Source organism: Homo sapiens, chromosome 17 (assembly GCF_000001405.40).
Source record: "Homo sapiens chromosome 17, GRCh38.p14 Primary Assembly".
Classification (NCBI taxonomy): domain Eukaryota; kingdom Metazoa; phylum Chordata; class Mammalia; order Primates; family Hominidae; genus Homo; species Homo sapiens.
The window spans coordinates 32,827,851-32,853,153 of record NC_000017.11 but is presented as its reverse complement, the minus strand read 5'-3'; the positions used below and the strand labels follow the sequence as shown (position 1 = coordinate 32,853,153).

The following is a 25,303-nucleotide window of genomic DNA, read 5'->3' as shown; positions in this document are numbered from 1 at the left end:
ATTGATTGGCTTTGGTATTTGATTTCGATGGTGCTGTTTACAAAGAGTAGAGATGCAAGAGGAAAGAAAATTTGGAGTGTGGGTTAGAAGGTAAGATAACAGGCTGAGGCTATTGTTCTTGCGAGTCATCACATGGAATTGTCTAGTAGCCAGATGGAAGTACTGGACTGTACAGTTTTGAAGCAGATTAGAGTGGTGTGTAGTCAGGACATAGGTGTTACAGTCATCTGTATATGATGACATTTGATGCTTTTGAAGTATATGAGATTACCTTATTAGAGAATGTATACAGTGAGAAGTGAAGGTAAATACCATCTTTCACAAAAAGGTCTTTTGGACCTCTGGTTTGTTTCTCAAAATTGTTTCTTTTTTTATCTAAATTTATAAATACATGATTCTTGTAGAAAAATTGAAAAATATAGAAATATATAAAGACAATAAGATAATAATATTCACCCATAATTCAATTCTCATTCCCCAAGAAAGTCACTGTTAGGAAAAAACTATGCATGTATTTGCCACATAGTTGAGACGACATTCTACAGACAATTTTGCACCCTATTTACCATTAATTCAAGCATAGTAGCATATTAGTATTATAAGTAACATTGCATTTAATATGTCTGTATGAGAATTATTTTCTAAGATCACAATTCTTCTTGGTATGGATTCCTAGAAGTAGAATAACTTGGCTACAAGACATAAACAAATGTAAAACTTTACATTTTGGCCAGGCACAGTGGTCATGCCTGTAATCCCAGCACTTTGGGAGGCCGAGGTGGGTGGATCACCTGAGGTCAGGAGTTCGAGACCAGCCTGGTCAACATGGTGAAACCCCGTCTCTACCAAAATATACAAAAACTAGCCAGGTGTGGTAGCATGTGCCCGTAGTCCCAGCTACTGGGGAGACTGAGGTGAGAGAATCTCTGGAACCTGGGAGGCAGAGGTTGCAGTGAGCTGAGATCATACCAGCCTGGGTGACAGAGTGAGACCCTGTCTCAAAAAACAACAAAAAAAACTTTACATTTCATCAAGTGTTTTTCAAAATGGTCATATCAATTTCTACTTCCACTGGCAGACAGTTCTAACATTTGAAGGTTTTAGGGGAAGAAGAGTCAATAAAAGAAATAAACTAGAAAGTAATGGTACGAGAGAAACTAACAGAGGAGAGAATTTCTAGAAGGAAACAACAGCAGTAGTAAATGCTGTAGATCAGGGGTCCCAACCCCCAGGCCCCTGACCGGTACGGTGGTCTGTTAGGAACCGGGCTGGGCTGCACATCAGGAGGTGAGCAGCGGGCCAGCAAGCATTACAGCCTGAGCTCCACCTCCTGACAGATGAGCAGCATTAGATTTTCAGAGGAGTGCAAACCCTATTGCGAACTGTGCGTGTGCACACTCCTTATGAGTGCACACTCCTTATGAGACTCTAATGCCTGATGATCTGAGGTGGAACAGTTTCACCCTGAAACCACCCCCCTGGGTCCATGGAAAAATGGTCTTCCACAGAACCTGTTCCTGGTGCACAAAAGGTTGGGGACCACTGCTGTAGAGAGATCACAGAAGCAAAGAATGGAGGAGACCATTGAGTTTGGTGATGGGAAGCCTTGGTAGAATGGTAGGGAGTTAGCCAGGTTGCATTGAGCTGAGGAGTAGATGAGGTGGATATGGACTATTTGATAGAAGGGCTGCAGAACTGGTGGAAAATATTGTGTTGTTTGTTTTTAAAGGTGAAGAGTCTTAGGCATGTCTGTGGGAATTGGAGTTGATCATTGATGGAACAAGATGCTTGAGGAAGTGAGAGAGGATGGGTTCCAGAGCTCTGGGGCTCCCTCTTTTTCAGGCTCAGGAAAAAAGGTGGTCAGGATTAGGGTGGATGTAGGTAAAGTGGCAGGAAGTCAGAGTTGTTTCTGTCTATTGGATTTTATTTTGCTTTGTGAAATAGAAGGCAAGATGTTGGCTGAGAGTGGGGGGAATGGTAGAAACATCGACTTGAGGTGAGAGTGAATAGGTTTACCTTCTGATTTGGGAGCTGTTGAAGGACAAGTACAAGGATCACCAGACAATGCCAAAGGTCCTCCTGATGTTGAACTCCATGGATTTATAGAGTTTCCAATTGGTCAACCTGAGTTTTTGTTGTTGTTGTTGTTGTTGTTTTTCATAGTACTTGGCAGCCTAGGTGCAGGGGAGAAATGAAGTAAACAGTTGGTCATCTGAAAAAAAAAAAGTTTTCATAAGTATTCTTAACTAAAATTTAAAGTAGGTACAGGGAGGTTTATTCTCTCATAAATGAGAAAAAAGAGACAGAGATTGACTCCCATGGTAAGTTGGTGATCAAGCCCAATCCAAGCCTTGATAAGACTCCATTCCCCTCAAATTCACTAATGCTTGTAGTTAAATTTTAGAAAACTTGGTATGTCCTTATATGGTGTATCTCAAACAAACAAAAAACAGGGTACATAAGAGTGAGTTAGGGAGAAGAAAGAAAATCAGACAGCATTACTCTACTGTGTTATTCCTGTGCAAAATTACTTCATATTACAAAGTGGAGCAGTGTTTAATCAGAGGAATTATAGAGAAACAATGAAAGAGAGGTAAATAGAGCACTTACAAAAGTCACTTAGTTTTTATACTGCTCAGACATTTTTTCCTGAAGAATACTTTTAAAAAATTAATATCAAATACAATTTTATTTCAAAATAAAGTGGCTGCATTCTTTGATAGGATTGTTGTACCCATGGTGAAAGAGTAGTGCAGTAGTTCAGGTCTGAGTGTGTGATGTGTTGGAGGATGGGCAATTGTCCATTTAAGTATCAGTGGATAATTGTTATTTTTAAAACTTCACATAGTTTGATTCTCTCTCAAAATATTGTAAAGAAATAACTCCTTTATGAAACTTACCATCATTGTTTTCTCTTACATGGTCTTGAGTGACATCAGTTTTAAAGGATGTAAAGAGCCATCTCAAGAACAGTAGCTATTAAACTGGTTTGAAAGTTGCTTGACAATAATGGAAAAAAAAAGTTATTTCCCAAAGGATTGCAGTAAGACTGATGATTTTTATGCCAGTGGAAGGCCAGTTTTTACCACAAAAATTTCCCTGTAACCTTTCATGATTGAAAACATATTACTTGCTATTCAAAAACACAGGCAAATTAGTGAGGAGAGTTTCTAAAAGAAGCTCAAGGGTTAGACATGTAATTTGTGGATTACATGTCATGATAGTGAAGTGTATTTCCTTCCGTGTTTTGTTTTAAACTGTAGAAGGGACACAAAAGTCCACAATTTGGGCTTCAAACTTATTTTTACAGCTGTAAGATGAAAACACTTAATTTTTTTTTATTATACTTTAAGTTTTAGGGTACATGTGCACATTGTGCAGGTTAGTTACATATGTATACATGTGCCATGCTGGCGTGCTGCACCCACTAACTCGTCATCTAGCATTAGGTATATCTCCCAATGCTATCCCTCCCCTCTCCCCCCACCCCACAACAGTCCCCAGAGTGTGATATTCCCCTTCCTGTGTCCATGTGATCTCATTGTTCAATTCCCACCTATGTGAGAATATGTGGTGTTTGGTTTTTTGTTCTTGCGATAGTTTACTGAGAATGATGATTTCCAGTTTCATCCATGTCCCTACAAAGGACATGAACTCATCCTTTTTTATGGCTGCATAGTATTCCATGGTGTATATGTGCCACATTTTCTTAATCCAGTCTATCATTGTTGGACATTTGGGTTGGTTCCAAGTCTTTGCTATTGTGAATAATGCTGCAATAAACATACGTGTGCATGTGTCTTTATAGCAGCATGATTTATAGTCCTTTGGGTATATACCCAGTAATGGGATGGCTGGGTCAAATGGTATTTCTAGTTCTAGATCCCTGAGGAATGGCCACACTGACTTCCATAATGGTTGAACTAGTTTATAGTCCCACCAACAGTGTAAAAGTGTTCCTATTTCTCCACATCCTCTCCAGCACCTGTTGTTTCCTGACTTTTTAATGATTGCCATTCTAACTGGTGTGAGATGATATCTCATAGTGGTTTTGATTTGCATTTCTCTGATGGCCAGTGATGATGAGCATTTTTTCATGGAAAACACTTAATTTTTAAGGGATTTTGTGTTCCAGTTTTACATGTCTTACTACATGTTTATTTCTAACAATTTATTTCTTCTTATACTTAATAATATATGTTTATGTAACTTTGCACAGGTACGTAAGAATGTTAGGGAACTTGGCAGTGTCTATGAAATGGTCATCTAGGAGCCCCTTTATTACAATGTGGCTTATTCTCTTAAAGCATGTACTTTAAGGAACAAATATGAGACATGGGACTACTGCACTGAATGAGCCCAGCTACCTACTATGGCAAGAAGGGTGTGGGACGGGGGACTGTGGTTAGGTAGCAACGGCACCAGTAATTCAAGCTGGAAGTCATCAGGGACTGATACCCCACAGAAACAAGAGTATTTCCACTTTAAGGAGTGAATCCGTTTTAAATCCAGTGTAAGCAACAGAGAGCTAAGGACAGAGTATGGCAACTCCTCAAGCCCACTAATGGCCTCTGTAACATACAAAACATTTAGTCTTCTTGATCATTCTGAGACTTGACTACCACAGAACTACTTGTTTTCATAAGGAAATGTAAAGAATTAATGTTTTGGTAATGTTTTACTTTGACATGATTTAAAATTTCAGAAAAGTTACAGGAACTCCCATGTACTTTTCACCCAGATTCATCAATTGTTTGACATTTGCCTTATCACTCACTTACCAATATTTGAGAGTAAGTTGCAGACATCCTGCCCCTTTCCCCTAATTCTTCGATGTGAATTTCCTAAGAACAAGGAGGGTCTCCTACATAACCACAGCATAGTTATGAAAAGCAGGAAATTTTACATGGGGTAGATAATAATCTTGTACCAAAGTCCATATTTAGATTTTACAATTGCCCTAATCATATGTTTTATAGCATTTTTCCTGGTCCAGGAGTCATATCTTAAATCTCATTTAATCTGAAATAAATTAACTAACTAGAACGGAGAGAGGCCCATTTTTCATAGTACACACTGCACACTTTCATTCATGTGTATTCATTTCAGCATCTTCTCTGAAACAGAATGACAGAAGCTTGTACATAGCAGGTACCCTGTAGGAAATACTTGTACTTTACGGCTTCTCAGTTAGTGCCTTTTTCAGCAGTGAATTAATTTTTGTATAAACAATCTTTGGTTCTTATTCTACTGTATAGGTACTGTTGTGTGCTGAGGACAATATTAAGCTTTCTTTGGTTTGAGCCATGTTTTTAACATGTATTAATAATAACTATTCTGGCTAGGCATGGTGGCTCATGACTGTAATCTCAGCATTTTGGGAGGCTGAGGCAGGTGGATTGCTTGAGCCCAGGAGTTGGAGATCAGCCTGGGCAACATGGCAAAACCCTGTCTCTACTAAAAATACAAAAATTAGCCAGGCGTGATGGGGCATGCCTGTAATCCCAACTACTTGGGAGGCTGAGGCACAAGAATTGCTTGAACCCCAGAGGTGGAGATTGCAATGAGCTGAGATTGTGCCACTGCACTCCAGCCTAGTGACAGAGTGAGACTCAGTCTCAAAATAATAGTAATAACTATTCTATCCCATTGGGACATTTTTGTGAGTCCCTGATGAGACAGTTCCAAAGTTCCAAGATATGTCCTGCAGTTTGTCTTTAGCTGAGAAAAAAATGGCAAGTGGCCACTGTCTTTCTGCTTAGGGCCAGTGATTTAGTTTCTTTTCTCTGGGCTATAATTATTCTCTGAAGTATGTGAACAAAGCAGCATATATATGCTTGTGATTCCAAAATCACTCGTAACTTTCACCATGTTTGTTCCATTGAAAATTGCATGATAGTTTTTGGTACTGATGTTCCATTCTATAAAAGTTTGGCATCGTTGACATTCTGTATCTAACTCATTCATGCCATGTATGAAGAATTCCCAAATTAGGATTTTTCTTAAAAGACTCATGGGCTACATGGAATTAAATTACTAAATTCAGGTATAGTTTTTAAATGGTTGTTTTGTTTAATGTTATGATTCTGTAAATTCTATAAAGAGGAGAATTGTGCTATCATCTAATCTCCCTATTCTGTCTTATTTACTTATTTGTTTGTTTGTTTGAAACAGGGTCTCGTTCTGTTCCCCAGGCTGGAGTTCAGTGGTGTGATCATAGCTTACTGCAGCCTCAATCTCCTGGGCTCAAGCATTCCTCTTACCTCAGCCTCCCGAGTAGCTTGAACTTCAGGCACAGACCACTACACCTGGCTAATTTTTAAATTTTTTGTTTAAAAAAATTTAGCTGGGCAGCTATGTTGCCCAGGCTGGTCTCAAAGTCCTGGCCTCAAGCAGTCTTCCTGCCTCGGCTTCCCAAAGTGCTGGGATTACAGGCATCAGTTATCACTCCTGTGCCTGACCTGTCTTGATTGTTTAAATTTTTATAAATGTTTGTCTACAAAAGGAGTAATGTTCTCCACAAAGTCTACTTAGATAATGTGCTTGTTAATGTTTGTATTATCAGTCTGCTTCCCTTTTTATTTAATTATTACTGTAATTTACTTTTGCAAGAATGTATTTCTATTTCAGATTGTAGATTTCAAAACACAAAGCACAAAATTAGATTTTTTTAACCTCAGAATGTACCTAGATACTCACCTGTACACATATTAATAAAGCTAATAGAAATACTACACATATTAGTAAAACAGAGTGATGTGCTTGGCTCATATTGTGGACTCTGTTATGCTGATGAGCTATAACTATTAATAGTCCTGTGTGTGATCACATGATACACATACACTTTTTGGTTAATGCCTGAGATAATGTTGAAGTAGGTATTCTGCTGTTTGGCCTTTCAGAGGTTAAGACCAAAGCCTCAAAAGGTGTTACTCTTATCAGCTAACTTTTTGTCTTGTGTGACGAAGCCCAAATTGCATTGCAGGCCTGTTCCTGAACTCTGTGGGACAAAGCCCATGTTGGGTAGGGGTAGATACCAAAATAAAATCTTAGTCCTATTAAAAGGAAGAAGAGAGGGAATAGGTGCTAAGTAGGCAACCCTCAGAGTTCACTCTATCACCCTTCAGGCTTTCGTTGTACCTTCTCCCACTACTCACCACTCTCTGGCTACCCTAGCCATCTTTGTATTATGAATTCAGCAGTTTTTTTTTTTTCCTCTACAGTATTTCAGAAGCTCGTACCATTCAGAGTAAGATGCTCAAATAATATTTTCCTTTACTTTAAGTGGGCAAAGCAAGGGTGTAGAAAGCCACCACAGGAGTGGAAAATGTCCTTGGAGTGGGAATCACATCAGTTCTGTGATGATGGAAATATTCTGTACCGTACTATCCAAAGCAGTAGCCACGAGCCACCTGTGGCAATTGGGCCCTTAAAATGTGGCCAGTGCAACTGAGGAACTGCATTTTTATTTCCCTTTAATTTAAGTTTAATAGCCACATGTGGCTCGTGGCTACTGTATTGAACTATGCAGGACAACGCTGTCACTCCCCAAGTCAAGAACCTGGATACATCCCTCTACCTCTTCTAACTGAGACTGTTTATCTTATAAGGGGGAATTATACTTCCCTGCCATCTTCATAGACTTGAGAACCAAATATGATTGTAGTTGTAAAACCTCTTTGGAAATCATCAGTTGAAAATATAAAATGACATTATCAATATTATGGCACTCTATCTTTTTTTCGTAGCAAAGCTGAAACCAACCACTTTTTGTTGATAATCTCAGTCCTATTACTTCTCCTGTTCTACTGCTGATTCTTTAGGCAGGGGTAAACCTAGAGGCTATTGAGTGAATAGGGAGAGGAAGCATAATTAAAGTCAGTATTGTTGAACCTTTTTAGTTATTAAAAAGGTTTACTAGTGAAAATTGAAGACGAAGTTTTTAAGTGAAAACTTCATTTATAAAAATAGTATGTGGTCTTAATTTTTTTAAAAAGGGAGTCAAAATAGAAAGTTACAAAGAGGAAAGCAAAAATCACACAAAAATCTCACCACCCAGAATAGCCATCGACAATGTTTTGGTGTAGCCTTCCAGATTTTTTTTTTTTCCTTTGGTATGTGTGTAACTTTTTAGAAACGTGAATATGTTGCCTTAAGCTGCATTTTTTTCATTTAAAAGGTGTACTGTTGACATTTTACGTGTCAATAGATATACATCTACTTTAAAATATCTATACATTTCTAATTATGAATATAATACAAAGTTATACAAAATTCCTAACTCAAGTGTTTCATAAACACAAGATTTATAAAGAGAAAGTCTCCCAGAAGTCATACCCCATTTGACATTATTATATGGTACATGCACATCAGTATTACTTTAAAATTTATTTTTATAAAACTATATTACATTATACATTGTTTTTTTAGAGATAGGGTCTTGCCCTGTCATCCAGGCTGGAGTGCAGTGGCGTGATCATAGCTCACTGCAGCCTCAAGTTCCTGGGCTCAACCAATCCTCCTGCCTTAGTAACTCTGTAGTAACTGGGACAACAGGCATGTGCCACCATGCCCAGCTAATTTTTAGAAGATGTTTTACAGAGACATAGTCTTGCTATGTTCCCCAGGCTGGTCTGAACTCCTGACCTCAAGTGATCCTCCTGTCTCAGCCTCTCAAAGTGCTAGGATTACAGTTATGAGCCACATATTATATATATACATATTATATATAGTATATATACACATATATACATATTATATATAGTATATATACACATATATACTATATATAATATATATACACATATAATATATACATATACATATTATATAATATATACATATGCATATTATAATATATACATATGATATATATATCATATATGATATATACATATTATATATTATATATACACATACATGATATATACATATTAAGAACAGCCTAATACTGTTCTTAAACTTGCTTTTGTCACTTATCAGTATATGTTTTATACATGTATTTATATGTTACTTGTTGTGTTACATATAATAGAATATTTAATAAATTTACTGGTGAGCTGATACTAGTTTTTTGTTAATAAGGTTATCATTATGCTGATAAATATCCTTGTGTGTGTATGTATGTGTATATATATGTGTGTGTGTGTATATGTGTATATATAAAATATATTTATCTTTTTTCTTAATATAGATTCCTAGAAGTAAAATAAGAAGTCAAGAAGTCAAATGTATGCAAATTAACCATTTTTATATTTATTGCTAGATGGCCATATAGAAAAGTGGTGTTATTTCAACAGAGAATAAGAGTTCTCCAGAATGGGTATTGCCATATTCATTTGGAGAGGAAAAAAGCTTTACCATTGTTAATAGATTTTCTTCATGTTAATTCTAGACTGGAATGTGGCTGAATGAGTTTGTGTATATGTCCTTTCGAAATTACAGATCTTACACCTTGTCTGTAGGATCTTGATGAAATCCACTGCCTTTCCTTCCATTCGGTTTCAGCTGGATCTGTAAACCATTCTTGCCTCCTTTATTTCCATCTCTTCTATTCTCCTTAAGATAGGGGAAAATAAAGCTTGGTGACTTTGGATTTTCTTAGCATGCCAGATAGAATACATGATGATTTAGTGACTAATAAACATAAGGCTAGTAGTCAGTATTATGCTTTCCATTTGATTCATTTGACATTCCATTACTAATTTGGCAGGTTATTGTGCAGCTTTGAATACATTTTGTATAAGCACACTTCTCTATTTTTTCCTTAGTCGTCGGAGTTTGTTCTTTATGGATACTCAGTGTGGTATGTAAGCTTTAGAATAAAAAGATGGTTGTCTGCATGTTTGGCTGGCTGTGTACTTTAAGTCAATAGTCTTTCTTAGGCTCCAGCTACACTCACACATATTTTGGCTTAAAACTTGAATTTAAGAGGAATTCCTGTCCTTAAAGAGAAATAGACGTAGACTGGGCATGGTGGCTCATGCCTGTAATCCCAGCACTTTGGGAGGCCGAGGCGGGCGGATCACTTGAGGTCAGGAGTTCGAGACCAGCCTGACCAATATGATGAAACCCTGTCTCTACTAAAAATACAAAAATTAGCTGGCCCATGGTGGCGGGTGCCTGTAGTCCCAGCTACTTGGGAGGCTGAGACAGGAGAATTGCTTGAACCCAGGAGGCAGAGGTTGCAGTGAGCTGAGATCGTGCCACTGCACTCCAGCCTGGGCTACAGAGCGAGACTCCATCTCAAAAAAAAAAAAAAAAAAAAGAAAGAAATAGAAATAAAACAAATGACAGTATAACTGTGTTGAGTACGAAAAACTTGTGTATTGAAAGAAATAGTGATTTGGGTTAGGTAGAATCTTAGAGACTTTCCTAGAAGAAATTGGATACTTACCTGGATGTTGAAGTTGGTGAGATTTTGAAGTCTGAGCGCATAGAATGTGGAAGCACATTCTGAATGAGAGTGAGGAGAAGGTATGTAAGACACCTTGAGTGAAAGTTCGAGTGCCAGCAACATCTTGGAAATGGCACACAGCTTTGTCTGGTTGGGGTAGATCACCTTTGCTGAGAAAGAATGCAGGCATTTTATAGGAACAGATGAGGAGTGGGGGAGAGAAAGAGAAAGAGAGCGAAAGAGAGCCCCTTAAAGTGTATAAAGTATCTACATATAAAGACTTTGAGGAATAACTGCATATTTCTAATCAAGAAAAATATCAGAAACCCCATTAATCCAGTGTGCAGCCAACTCCTAAGAGTCCTAAGTGACCCCTGTCCACCTGGGCACTGCTGGGATTAACTGTCTCGGAAACCTTGCAGTAACTTACGCTTCACATCCCCTGTGTTCTTGGTTATCTCCCAGAATGCCATTCTATTTTATTGTTCTCATACTGCTTCTTCTTCCTTCAGACCCACAACTCTCAGTCCAAGCTCCATTGTATCCCTGTCTTCCCAGTCTTAAACTGCCTTGTTCCGCTGACCTTCAGGGACCGTCACCTGGCAAAACCCCAGTCCTGGAACTATCAAATGGCTCATCTTAATTTGTCCCTACAGATCCAATATTGGGGCTGCCGAGACTTGCTGGAGAAAATACTACTACTGCACAGATGGGTACAAATAAATGTATAATTGCTAATCTCACTCAGATCTTCAAATTTATGGACGTTACTTCTGTGCTTCCCTAGACTGCTCTCTCTCTCTCTTATTTTGTGTAATGTCTCTTTCTTAGCCTTTTCACTAATCTTTTATTACTAGCCTACTCCCTGTCTCCTGCATCACCTTCCTGCTTCCCAGAGAAATACCCTGCAGACCTGAACTCCCACTTCCTCTGGCACATCTAAAGACCGCATCTTTATCCATTCTTTCTTCCTTCCTTCCTGTTGCAATAGGAGATGGGGGCTTATCCTCCTCTATTAGGCTAATTCTGCCTACCCTATCGTGAGTCCTGTCTTTTTTCACCCTCACAGGGACATTGATCTCTGAAATTATCTTTTTACTCTTTTGAATCTTCATCCTTGTCCTGTCTCCCAGATGCTTCCCTTCAGCATCCAAACTTTGTAGTAGACACCTATTATTTTATCTGAATAGTGCCCTTTTCTCCAATCCAGCCAGATGGTAACTCTGGGAGCTACAATTTAAATGCAGATGCTTCTTGACTTGCAAAGGGGTTGTGTATTTTTTTTTTTTTTGAGACAGGGTCTCACTCTGTCACCCAAACTGGAGTGCAGTGGCACAACCATAGCTCACTGCAGTCTTGACCTCCCCAGGCTCAAGTGATTCTCTCACCTCAGCTTCCTGAGTAGCTGGGACTACAGCATGCAACCGTGCCTGGCTAATTTTTTCTATTTTTTGTAAAGGTGGGATTTTTGCCATGTTACCCAGGCTGGTCTTGAACTCCTGGGCTCAAGTCATCTGTCTGCCTAGGTCTCCCAAAGCTCTGGAATTATAGGTGTGAACCACTGTGCCTGGCCTACAATGGGGTTACAGCCTGATAAACCCATCATAAGTTGAAACTATTGTAAGTCAAAAAGGTATTTAATACACTTAACCTACCAAACATCGTAGCTCAGCCTAGCCTACCTTGAACATGTTTAGAACATTTGCATTAGCCTACAGTTGGTCAAAATCATCTAACATAAAGCCTATTTTATACTGAAGTGTTAAATATCTCCTGTAATTTATCGAATACCATTCTGAAAATGAAAAACAGAATGGTTTTATGGGTACTTGAAGTATGGTCTTTACTGAATGTGTATCACTTTTGCACCATTATGAAGTCAAAAAAATCAAACCATCATAAGTTAGGGATCATCTGCACAAGACATTCCTGCCTTTTGGTCACTGTTGATTTGTCCAAGGATGGGCATCTGACTCAAGCTGGACCAACCACAGTTCTTCCCCAGGACTTTATATTTGAAATGAAATCATCTTTCTCTCTGTTTTGGTGGCTGAAATTCAGAATGTGTATGTTTTGGAATTGTTGGGAGTCAAGTTCTGAGGGTTGAAGAGTAGAAAAGAGTAGAGAAGAATGAGGGGAAAGAAAGACGAGAGAGTAAGAGAGGGAGAGAATAAGAATGAATTATAGCCAAAAGGCAAAAACATTTCCTTAGTTCTTTACAAGCAGTGATTCCTAACCTTTTTTATGTCATGACACACATAGCAAATGGTAATATAAATACTGCCCATTGAAGGAGATGGACAAGGCTGTGCTTATGGCTGGCGGACACACCTGTAATCTGAACCCAGGTAAAAAGCTGTACTCTGCAGTGTTCTGAGAGGTCATACTTGTAAATCACTCCCACGTTGAGAAAAGCTCTGTTCCAGAATCTGGTTCTAATTATCTTGGTCCTAACCCTTGGGTCGTATGAGATACCCTTGCAACCTTCCTTTAGATGCCATTTCCTCCAGGCTGCTTCCTGAACTCCCCAGATCCTCTCCAGTGTGCGCCAGTAACACCCTGGGCTTTTTGTTGTAATTATCTAATTATTTATCTGTATAATCTGTTGTATATGAACCCCAGGAGGATAAGAACTACATCTCTCTTTTCATCTTTATAGCCCTAGTGCCTCCAGTGGGGTAAACATCTCCTGAATGAAGGAATTATGCTCTGCCCACATAAAAAGATGGAACAAGAAAATTGTAATTGAAACAAGATCTTTTGTGTAAATATTCTTTCTTTCTAAAAGGAGACGGCTTTGAATGGCAGCCCTGGAAAGGAAAGTGAATGAGAACTATGTCTTTTTGGCATTATGTGTCTGGTAGTTTTGTCAGACCGTCAGATCTTCAATTTCTTAAATTTTGCCTTGTATTAAATATCTCACTATTCACGTTGCAAAATAAGACTCAACCCATTTTCAGAATAACAAATCCCCTGTGGAAAAAATGCATTAAAAATCCTGAGAGTAAATACAGGCCTAAAAATATGAGCAGTATCTCTGTTTTGTCCACTCACAGAATTATGTGTCCTGTCTTGTTTGTACTGAAGAGGTTGAGGAGGATTAATCTCTTCCTATAGGGTGAGCTTCCTTCCCCATGCTTCCCTTCATCCTCTGCCTTTCTCTGGAATTGCCCCTTACCTTCAACTTGCTGTCCATATTCCAGCTCACAGTGTTTCCAGGTTCACAGCCTTACTGCACTATGGTATGAGAGAATCCAAACTCAAACTGATTAAAGCCACACGCAATTACTCCTAACTTAGTCTGGCCCAATTTAAAAGCACTTAAATTCTCTGGCAGGTCTTTTCCACTCCTTTGGTTCTTAGGCCCTGCCACTATAGGTTACAATTATTTTGATAAGGCTCCAGCTTGCTTTGAATTCAGGTTGAAGTTTTTTCTTTATTCACTTCTTGGCTCTTGGAAAAATAAGGTTCTTTCTTCCTTGGGACCAAGGTATACCTCTGTTTAACACTGAATTAACAAATTGTCCATATAGTTCTCTCCAACAGCTTAGTCTACCTTCTTGGCTTAGACTTAGTCCTTTTTGCTTTTGCTTTCCTTTAGTTCTTGACATTTCCTGTACTTTGAGACAAACTATTAAGGTGTTCCTACTCTGCTTGTTTTTCTTGTTTTTTGTTTTGCTAACAACTTATGTTATTCTTGCAAAAATATATGATGGAAGGAAACATGGCTGAATAGCAATTGTTTAAAAACCTTATGGAAAATTATATGTAATCAAGTTGTAATTTTTCATATATTAAGCATTTAGTGTACTTCCAAATAAAATCACAATTGGATTGGAGTTGGGTGTATAGGAGGGAAATTGACTAAACAATTTCAAAGTTTATGTGGAAACTAAATATGTGAAAGTAGCATAGAAAAGTTTGAAGAAGAGTATTGAGTCAGTTGTTAATATTCCTCATAGTCCCTTAAGTGGGCTCCTTGACTGTACTCCTGACTTCCTCTAGTAAATTATTTTTATTTTCTTATAGATAAAGTGATCTTTCTAAAATGCCTATCTGAACACTTTGCCCCCGATGAAGCCCTTCGGTGGCTTACTTTGCTCTCAAGATAAAGTGCAAACTCATTTTTTAGATCTTTAATATCCTGTGTGATCTCGCCCTTAATACTTCTCCAGCCTGAGCTCTTGCCTGTACTTTTCCCGTCTGTCTGTTTACTTGTCTCCATCTTCTCACTAGCCTTCAAGCACCATAAAAATAGTGACTATCTAGTCACTATGTCTCGTTCCCTGTTTTATCCCTACAATCTAACGTGATGCAGGTGCTTAGTAAATATTGGTCAAATGAAATAATTATAAGGCTAAGACCAAATCGATGGAACTGAAAAGACAGTCCAGAAGCAGACTATTTCGTGTCTAAAAATTTAATAAATGATAAGGTATGCATCATAAATCTGAAGAGGAAAAGAATATTTGATAAATGGTATTGCCAGAGCTGGTTATTAATTTGGAAAAAGATAAGAGTTAGAGATGAGACCAGTATGTTAATAGTACCCCCAAAAAGGTTGCTAAGGCATTAAAGAGTTAATTTTTTTAATTTTAAGAATATAGTTTGACATGAATATTTATAGGGAAATACTTAGATTTATGGGGAATATTGTAGGGAAAAAATATTTCTAAGCTTGGGTGTGATCACCGATCCAACTACATAAAAATTTGAAAAGCACAAAGAACATTACATCTTGGGAAATGATTGCAGTAAATATAAAAATAAAAATGTTGTAAAGTATTATATGAAAAGAAAAGCACAATACCTTAGTGAATGAGAAGAACTCTAAAAAGCACTTGATAAATGCATACACAAAATGAAGACCGTTTATGAAAATGAGAATATAAATGACTAAACAAAAGTAATTTCGATTTTACTAGTAATCACTGAGTTAAACATTAAAACAATGAAATACAAATTTTTTGTCCTATCAGACTGATAAAAAATAGGGGAAAAGCCAGAGTTGGTGAGGACATGGTGAGTTGGTATTATGATGCATTATTGGGCACCAGTATCAACTGATAGAATTTTTCTGAACCAGTTTGGCTCTGTCTGCATCAATACCAAATGGTTGTGTACATTAATTCAGTAATTCAACTTCTGTGAGTATGGATGAAGGAAAGATTTTAGATACAAATAAAGCTTTAAATTTTGGTTATCAGTGTTTAATTAAAGCAAAAATTAGAAATAGTCTATTTGTGCCCACCTAGGGATGCAAAAAGAAAGAAAGAAAATAATCTAAATGTCCAGCAGTAAGAGAATCATTAAACGGTGGTTAGATCTAATTGAGTAATGCATAGCCATTAACAATGAACATGAGCCACAGTCTGGGAAAAGATTTTTATTATATATTATGGTCCTATATAATATAAGATTTGACAAAGCACTCATAGCTAGAACATTTAAAGAACTACCAAAAGAAAAAAAAAGACAAACAGCCCAGTTAAAAAAAAAAAAAGAAAAGGCAGGCACTTTGAAAAGAAGATAACCAAATGATCAATAAACATTTAAAAAGTCCACAACATCATTGCACATCAAGAAAATGGGAGCTAAAACTACAATGAGATAATATTACACACTCATCAGAATGGCTAAAATTTTAAAAACTGACAAAAATCAAATATTGGTGAGGATTCAGAATGAACCATTTAAAAAAAAGGAAAAAAATATTGGTGAGGATATGAAGCAACTGGAACTCTTACACATTGCTGGGAAACATGTAAATTACTTCAGCCACTTTGGAAAACTGGCAGTATCTCCTCAGGCTAACTCTATACCTATCCTATGACCTAGCGATTTAACTCCTAGGTATATACTCAGGAGAAGAATTCATGTCTACCAAGAGACTTTTAAAAGTGTAAAAAGAGTAGCTTCATTCAAACTAAACCAAAACTGAAAATAATCCAAATGTTCATAAACAGGAGAATGGCTTAACCGTGGTATAATCTAATGTAATAATTAATATAATTATATGATGTCATTATGTAACTATAATAGTTAATGTAATTAAATTGTGGTATATTCCTATATAGAATACTGTATGGTGATAATGAAATAACAAATTAGTGACACACACAACAACATGAATGATTCTCACTAACACTATGTTGAACAAAGGAAGATAGACCAAAAGAGTACATACTAAATGATTCCACTGATTTGATGGAAGAGTAGGCAAATTGATTAGTGACTGATCGTCATAGAAGGCAGAATAGTGGTTACCCCTGGGTGGGAGAATTAACTGGGAATGAGCAGAAGAGAACCCTCTGGTGTGATGGAAATATTCTATGTATTGATCTCTAAGGGGGTTAGGACTATCCATGTGTCCAAATTCAGCAAACTATGCCCTATATGTGCTCTTTAACATTCCTTACTGATAAACTGAGGGAAAAATAACACATGGCCTTGAGCAAGTCACTTAATTTTCCTAAGCTTCAGTATGCTCTTCTCTAAATCACAAATACACTTGCAGGATTGTTGTTAGAATAGCATATGGTTAATAGGTAAAAATGGCAGTTACTGTCAACTAGAAATACTTAAAAATATTATATGTTGCAATATGTATAAATTGTGAATATATCATATGGTTGGAGGAGTGTAAAACACAACCCCCTTTGCATTAAAATACTAATTTACCAAAATATATGCAGTGGTTTAGATGTCTTTGGTTAATGAGATTTGTTTTTCTTCCTATTTTTAGCTTACAAAAATATGAATGAGCATTATACTCATAATGAAAGCAAACAAATCTTATTTAAAACATTTAAAAGTAATTTTCAGTCCATAGTGAGCGCAGTATGAACCAACAGTTAGTGTAAACCCCCAAATCTTAATTCTCTTTTAGGTTAGATTACTTGAAGAGTTGTGACTACAACAAAGGAATTAATATTCACTTGGTTTTAGGTGCCACCGTTCTAAAGGGATATAAATAATCTAGGATGAATTCAGAAGAAGCATGACCAGGTGTTAAAGAGATGTGAGCTTGTGATATGTGACAAAAGCTGAAAGACCTACTCATGCTTGTCTGGGAGAAGAAAGACCCAGAAGGACTTGATGTCTGCTTTCAAATCAGAAGGCATCCATGTGAACAAGAGTAGGTTATGTTCTCTGTGATCTCAAGCAGAACCAGTAACAGTAGGTAGAACCTATGCCAGGGAATCCATTTCAGGGCCGTGTAAGAAAGCTCTTTGTGACAATGCTATTCATTCATTTATTCAAGTTATTTATTGAGTGCATTTCTGTTGTAGGCCCTCTACTAAGCATAGAGTATCCGAAAATAACTAAGTCATGGTCCTTTCAGTAGTGACCAAGGAAGCTATGCAAATGATAACAGATCATGTTTTTCAGTGCTGTGACAGAAGTATAACAAATGTTATAGGAGCTTAGAGGAGGGAAATGTGCTGTTGTGCAGGGAATAGGAGAGAGCTTCACAGAAGGGGTAACATTTTAGTTGAGTATTGAATAATGGATTAATGGGTATTTGCCAAGCAGCCAGGCAGGGTATGGTATCTGGCAAAACAAACAAACACAAAACCAAAAAAAAAAAAACCCCAAAAGAAAGCAAAACCAAAAACCAGAGCTGTGTTTGTACTTGTCAAGGTATGTTTGGGACCAGACTGTGCAGGACCTTGTATATATCCTTTTGTAGGCAATGGGAAGCGGTTGAAGAAATGTGGTTTTTTGTTTGTTTGTTTTTGTTTTTGAAGCAGAGTCTTACTCTGTCACCAGGCTGGAATGCAGTGGCGCGATCTGGGCTCACTGCAACCTCCGCCTTCCGGGTTCAGCGGATTCTCCTGCCCCAGTCTCCCGAGTAGCTGGGACTACAGGGGCGCACCACCATGCCTGGCTAATTTTTGTATTTTTAGTAAAGACAGAGTTTCACCATGTTGGCCACGATGGTCTTGATCTCTTGACCTTGTGATCTGCCCGCCTCGGCCTTCCGAAGTGCTGGGATTAAAGGTGGGAGCTACCGTGCCTGGCCAAAAAATGTTTAAGAAAAGGAACAGTGTTTGTTTTGGGGCAGGTAACTCCAGCTAAGGTTGTAAGACAGATTGGAGTAGGAGAGCCTGTGGTGAGATCCTAGTTTGGAGAATGCTGCAGTTCTCAAGTGGCAGATGATGTAGGATGAGGAATTGAATGATAGTGGAGTTGGAGAGTTGGACTGCATTTGGAACGTTCCTCAGGTAGACTCAAGAGGTCTTGATGACAAATTGGGTAATTGTTTTGGAAGGTGAGGGAGAAGAAAGAATTGAGGATAATTCACATGTTGTTAGCTTGGAGAACTGGGGGCCAGGTGACCTTGGCCTTACCCACAGGCACTGTTTGGTTCTGGTTATGGGGCAGGGGAGTGGACACCTTCACTTTGACTGCAAGCTCCATGAGGACAGGTATCATATGTACTTGTTCATTTCTGTTTTTCCAGTGACTGGAATAATGAATGAATGAGCAATTTGTTATCCCTCCCAAAGTGTTCTACTAATTTGATGACAATTCTGGGACTTCTGTCTGTTGTACTTAATTAATATTGATCAGGCTAAACATATTATCAGGTATTATTACATTTCGGAGAAGTTCATTTATTCAGCAAACATCTGTTGGGCGCCTACAATATGCTGAGCACCATCCTTGTCTTGACAGGTAAAATAGTAAGCAAAAAAGACAAAAATGCAAGCCTTCATGGAGTTTTAATTCTAGTGGGGGGAGACAGACTAAAAATAATGATAAAGAAGCAAAGTATATAGTGCATTAGTTGGTGATAAATGCTGTGGAGAAAAAGCACAATGTGGAGAGAGGGAGTGTTCGGAGGTGTAGTAGGGGGTCTTATCTAGAATGGCCAGGGAAGGCCTCACTGAGAAGGTGGCATTTGAAGAAAGAATTGAAGGAAGGTGAACCACGCAGACAGCTGGGAGGAGAGACTTCCAGGCAGAGGGAACAGCAGATGCAGAGACCTGTTGATGGGAGCTTGCCTAGTGTGTTCAGAGGAGCAAGGAGGTGGCCAGTAAGGCTGGAGTGAAGCGTGTGTGAAGAGGAGAGCAGAAGGAGATCCGGTCAGAGCTGTGGGTGGATCAGGGTCAGGAAGGCCAGTAAGGCCAGGAAGGCTGATAGAAAGACTTGACATTTTTCCTGGGGTGCCATTGGAGCTGGGGTGCCATTGGAGAGTTTGAGCAGAGGAATGGCATGATGTGACTTACATGTTAACGGAATTACTCCGGCTGCTGTTTTAAGAATAAATTGAAGGGGAACCATTTGGCTAAGAAGCTATACAATAATTCAGGTGGGAGAGGTGATAGTGACTTGGACCTGGGTGATCGCAGCAGAGGTGGTGAGAAGTAGTCAGACTCTAGATATGCTTTGAAGAGAGATGGATTGTGTTTATACTTTGAAGATAGATGGATTCTCGATATACTTTGAAGACGGGTGGCTTCTGTATGTACTTTGAAGATAAACAGATTCTAGATATACTTTGAAGATAAATGGATTCTGGACATACTTTACTGACAGATGAGACATGGGGTATAGCGAGCAGGAGGAGCAGGTGTGGGACACTATCAGGGGCTCAGTGTTAACATGCTACGTTTGAAGTGGCCACTAGACATCCAAGTAGAAATGCTAAGTAGGCAAGTGGATGTACAGTTCTGAGATTTGGGTTAGAAGTCCAAGCTGGAAATATAAATTAATTCTGAGGGAACTTGTTACTGTGAGCATAGTTTATGATTTGAGCACCCGAGACTCGGGGGAGTACCATATACAACACTACTTTAAAATAATGTAAACGTCCCTTGGGAGAAATTTCAGATTGTTTTGTAGGCATAAAAACATTTTATAGATCAGATAAATTAAGCTGCCAACTTGTACCAAAGTTAAAAGTTCTTAGTTCTTTGTATTTTAAAGAACAGTAGATTCTTAAATCATATATAACTTCTATTCTTTACATTTACTTTTCGTTTAAAAATAAAGCATGCCTTTTTCTCACGTCAATAAAATTGGTGAAATTCGCCATTTTAATGCAGCTGCTTTTACTCAGAACACCTAATTTTTTCTTAGCTTGCTCTTCTCATTCATGTGTATTCACAGACTGCAAGTTAATTTTAACAAATGCAAAATACATAATTAGGAGCCGGGCCCAGTGGCTCACACCTGTAATCCCAGCACTTTGGGAGGCCGAGGCGGGCAGATCGCAAGGTCAGGAGATCGAGACCATCCTGGCTAACACGGTGAAACTCCGTGTCTACTAAAAATACAAAAATTAGCTGGGCGTGGTGGCGGGCGCCTGTAGTCCCAGCTACTCGGGAGGCTGAGGCAGGAGAAAGGCATGAACCAGGAGGTGGAGCTTGCAGTGAGCCAAGATTGTGCCACTGCACTTCAGCCTGGGTGACAGAGCGTGACTCCATGTCAAAAAAAATACAAAAAAAAAAAAAAGAAGAAAGAAAAAAATTAGTCAGGTGTGGTGGTGCGTGCCTGTAGTTCCAGCAGTGGAGTCAAGGGAGCTGAGGTGGGAGAGTTACCTGAGCCCAGGGAGGCTGAGGCTGCAGTGAGCCATGATTGTACCATTGCCTGGGCAGCAGAGCAAGACCCTGTCTCAAAAAAAAAAAGAAAGAAAGAAAAAAGAAAACCCCCATATTATACATGACAATGTATCGCTTCGTGGCCTTTTGGCTAAGATCTAGTGTATACATGACACTGCAGAATCCTAGTGAGATGATGACCAAAATTACACAGCTGAGCTGAGATGAGGACCCAGGTGTGTTGGACTCCAAGGTTAGTTTCCCCTGCATTGCCTCACCTAGAAAAGTTAGGAGATGGTAAAAGATGCCTTGCCCTTATGTGTAATGACAACAGCATCCCTGGTTACCTGATCAGGCCATTCAAATTCCAGGAAATGAAAGCAGCATATCACTGAGAACTTACCTAAATATTTGTTTAAGAATAATATGTAAACCTAAGTACAAACACCCCAGCATTTAAGTATGTAGAAAAGTAATCTTATTCTCTGGGGCACAAATTGAGTTATTAAATGCAGTACATTGTTTTAACAGCACACAATTCTGGTTATTACTTTGTATTGCATCAATAATTAATTACATTGCTGTTTACCTTGTTTATTTAGATTTGAGCATATGTTACTTTGTAAGTGATCCTAAGCCATCATTCTAAAAACAAATTAGTGGAAGCCCTATGCTCACATTCCTCTTTAAACAGATATTTTAGTTGGATTACTAAGTATCTCATTATCTGAAAGCACTTAATGCTCCATCAGCTTGGGGTTTCCTAAGCAATGTTCACAAATTAGTGAGAACAAAAGTGAAATAAATTCATCTGTGAGGACTTACCTGAGTGCTATTAGTAATGGGTACTTTTCATAGGTTTCTTGCAGTAAAAACTCAGCGTGATCTAAGACAGCAAAAAATAACAAAAAGCTGTTTCTTTCTCCTCCAAGCGAATATCATGTGCTTCAAAAAATGTTATTCTCTTTCTCGGCAGAATTTTGGAAGCCTTTTCTGATTAGATTAGCACTCTATTAAATTGCTGCTTAGTATTGTGTTGACTTCTACTTTCTTAAGTCTGACAATATTCTCTTGATCACAAGTCAGTAATATATTTATGAAAACTTAATCTATACCTGCTTTTTGCACTCATGTCAGTATTTTTTTTTATTCGAGACGGAGTCTTGCACTGTCCCCCAGGCTGGAGTGCAGTGGCATGATCTCAGCTTGCTGCAACCTCCGCCTCCTGGGTTCAAGCGATTCTCCTGCCTCAGCCTCCCAAGTAGCTGGGACTGTAGGTGCGTGCCACCACGCTCAGCTAATTTTTTGTATTTTTAGTAGAGACGGGTTTCACCGTTACACAGGTTGGTCTCCATCTCCTGACTTCGTGATCTGCCCGCCTCGATCTCCCAAAGTGCTGGGATTACAGGCATGAGCCACCGCCCATATCGGTATTTTTTAAAAACGCTTTTTGTGTAGAAAAATCAGAAAATGAGTATTAGGAAAAATTTAAAAACCCAATTATTCCATGTAGTGATAACCATGCTTAATATTTTGTGTTTATCTGCCCAGAGTTTTTTCTGCTTATATAGGTTAGATAAATGCCTATATGATTTTAAAGAATAAAAATGGGTTCATACCACTGAGCAGTACAACACTGTATCCTTTCATTTACTGTGTTTTTAACATCTTATTTCACTAGATAATGTCTCTGCCACATTCATTTTTATTAGCTTCATGTTCTGCTGTATTTCACAGCCTTCTTTCTGTCTACCCTGCTTGCAGTCATCCCACTTTAATCTAGGACAGTAGCTCCTGGGGGTACTATGCTGTTATACATTTTTAGTATTTTCTTATATTCAATGATAATTGTGTGATAAATGCTATTTAAAGCATCGTGGCTGGTCTGAAGGTAGTGAGTTATCTCAGTTGATTGTTCAGTCACTTGCAGATCAAACTCCTTATTCTACTCTTTACCCCCTTCTCACTACTGCACTTGACTATTCGAAAATGAGCATCCCACATATTTTCATCAGATGGAGAATTTTGTGCTAATGCTGAGTATCTTGATTTAAATGTTATCACTTTCTCGGTTTACCTCAGTTATCCAGAGCACAGATAAAGAGAATAAAGTAAAATTTATTTAATGGAAACTAAAATATATATTGTAATCAGTTAACTTTATTCATAAGAAGACTGTCTCATGCCTTTTCTGGGAGCTCTTTTTCTCTCTAGCTTTAGACAGGACTCTAGGGCTAAGCTTCAGTTACCTGGAAAATTTGATGATATGTGAATTAAATTATTCATAGAAGAGATGTCTGTTTATTTGATTAGCGGTGAGTGGGTTGGAGAGACCGATTTATGATAGGTCTCATGCTAGGGACTTTTCATTTCTGCTTCACAAAAATCCCACAAGGCATGTACTCTAGTTTCTGTATCTCTCTCATTTCCTTGTTAGTTTAAAAAACAACATGAAGCCGGGCTTGGTGGCTCACACCTGTAATCCCAGCACTTTGGGAGGCCGAGGTGGGCAGATACTTGATGCCAGGAGTTTGAGATCAGCCTGGCCAACATGGCAAAACCCTGTCTCTACTGAAATATAAAAAAATTAGCTGCGCTTGGTGGCACACTTCTGTAGTCCCAGCTACTTGGGAGGCTGAGGCATGAGAATAGCTTGAACCCAGGAGGTGCAGGTTGCAGCGAGCTGAGATTGCGCCACTGTGCTCCAGCCTGGGTGACAGAGCAAGACTCTGTCTCCAAAAACAAAACAGAAAAGAACAGCATGAGACTCAAGTTCCTACCCCTAGAAAGTAATTGAACTAGGGTACAACCTCAGGTCTGGCTGCAAAGCCAGAGGTATGTGTATAAATTCAAAGTGCATAAAATAACTTTTAGCCAAATCATTTTATCCACCACTTGAAAATGACTTTGTCTGATGTTCTGATAAATATCTGTCCCAAAAGGTGGGGAGGTAAATGAAAGCACCCTGAGAAGACCTTACTCAAAAATGCCCTTAATCTAAGTATCTAGTTCCCCTGTTCTAATACTTTCTTAGCTCCTCCCTGTTAGATGACTCTCTTTTTGCTACTATTTCAAGATTTCATCTTAAAAGCAAATGTTTTGTAGTTTACTTTGGCACACACCATAGCATATTTTCTTTCTAGCATTTCCATTTTTGTTCCTAACTTATTTTCTCCTGTCTGTGTGGAATTGAGGCAGTGTAGCTCAGTGATTAAGTCCTGAGCATTGGAGTCAGACCCAAGGTCTGCCTTCTGACTGTCACTTACTAATAGTGTGGCTTTAAGCAGGTTTACCCGACTTGTATGTGTGTGCCTCCGTTTCCATAGCAGGAATATAGTATAGTAGTATGGCACCAACAGAACTGATAGAACAGAATACAACACCATAGAGTGGCTCTGAAGTTTAAATGAGAAAAATGCATATCTAGCACCACCTTGCCTCTTAGCACGAAGCAGGCATTCAAAATAGGTTAGCTTTTCTACCCCTTTTACCTCTTTAAATAATATGAAATAATTGATTTTGCCCACTGGCTTACATAGCATTTTCCCTCCCTCCCTCTCTGCATGTAGTAGCTTAGAGAGAACATTTGGAACCTGGCATACTTGGCCAGAGCCTGCTCATTCTCTGCTTGACTCATTCACGTACACACCTGTTTCCTGTCTTCTTTCTTTTTTTTTTTTTTTTTTTTTTTTGAGACGGAGTCTCGCTCTGTCGTCCAGGCTGGAGTTCAGTGGTGCGATCTCTGCTCACTGCAAGCTCCGCCTCCCTGGTTCACGCCATTCTCCTGCCTCAGCCTCCCGAGTAGCTGGGATTACAGGCACCTGCCACTATGCCCGGCTAATTTTTTGTATTTTTAGTAGAGACGGGGTTTCACCGTGTTAGCCAGGATGATCTCGATCTCCTGACCTGGTGATCCGCCCGACTCGGCCTCCCAAAGTGCTGGGATTACAGGCGTGAGCCACTGCGCCCGGCCTCCTGTCTTCTTTCTGATAGCACGGGAGAAAACAAACAGAATCCAATTTACTTACACAGAACAATGACCTCTTACCCAGGACCTTTCTGGAAAATAATGCCTGCCATTAGTATCCCTGGCTTCCACGTCAGCTTCTTTCACTCATCCTTAACTTGAAGTGTTTTTCATTGTGCTTTCAGCCTCTCCCATGCTCAGGGTTTTGGTCTTTGTCCAATATTTAGCGGTTTGTGATCATGTGCTTTTGCCATTGGTGTGGTTCTGACTTGGTAAGAGTTATTTCTTAATGCTTTGTAATGTTATCCCTATTTCTTTAGTGAAAACTGCAGTTTATAAGTAATGATAAGCATCATATTTTACTTGTAAATCAGATTTCTGAAAATATTT

General features: G+C 38.6%; 1 protein-coding gene and 1 long non-coding RNA gene across 10 annotated transcripts in view, besides 4 other annotated features; one reads left to right on the top strand and one right to left on the bottom strand.

Moving 5' to 3' along the window:
• MYO1D (myosin ID) overlaps positions 1–25,303 on the top strand; it is a 384,603-nt gene that overhangs the window by 23,971 nt on the left and 335,329 nt on the right. The gene's annotated exons all lie outside the window — the stretch shown is intronic.
• On the bottom strand, positions 1,758–25,078 carry LOC124903981 (uncharacterized). Of its 4 annotated transcripts, none has more exons than XR_007065713.1 (4): positions 24,975–25,078; positions 10,397–21,832; positions 9,454–9,558; positions 1,758–2,174 (listed from the first exon to the last, which is right to left on the bottom strand). It is a non-coding gene; the product is annotated as an uncharacterized LOC124903981 (long non-coding RNA). The 4 variants fall into 4 exon arrangements; XR_007065714.1 differs by lacking the exon at positions 1,758–2,174 and having other exon boundaries at positions 9,232–9,558; positions 10,397–10,566; positions 21,772–21,832; XR_007065715.1 differs by lacking the exons at positions 1,758–2,174; positions 24,975–25,078 and adding an exon at positions 24,596–24,616 and having other exon boundaries at positions 9,232–9,558; positions 10,397–10,566; positions 21,772–21,832.
• Positions 17,398–17,447: an enhancer, noted in NCBI's record as "active region_12039". NCBI's record gives its function as "activates an Ori minimal core promoter by ATAC-STARR-seq in GM12878 lymphoblastoid cells {active_cell/tissue: GM12878}" and the evidence as "EXISTENCE:reporter gene assay evidence [ECO:0000049][PMID:35858748]".
• Positions 24,940–25,009: an enhancer, noted in NCBI's record as "active region_12038". NCBI's record gives its function as "activates an Ori minimal core promoter by ATAC-STARR-seq in GM12878 lymphoblastoid cells {active_cell/tissue: GM12878}" and the evidence as "EXISTENCE:reporter gene assay evidence [ECO:0000049][PMID:35858748]".
• Positions 25,009–25,303: a silencer, noted in NCBI's record as "tiled region #12414; K562 Repressive DNase matched - State 5:Enh". NCBI's record gives its function as "represses a minimal TATA promoter and a strong SV40 promoter by Sharpr-MPRA in K562 cells {active_cell/tissue: K562}" and the evidence as "EXISTENCE:reporter gene assay evidence [ECO:0000049][PMID:27701403]".
• Positions 25,050–25,159: an enhancer, noted in NCBI's record as "active region_12037". NCBI's record gives its function as "activates an Ori minimal core promoter by ATAC-STARR-seq in GM12878 lymphoblastoid cells {active_cell/tissue: GM12878}" and the evidence as "EXISTENCE:reporter gene assay evidence [ECO:0000049][PMID:35858748]".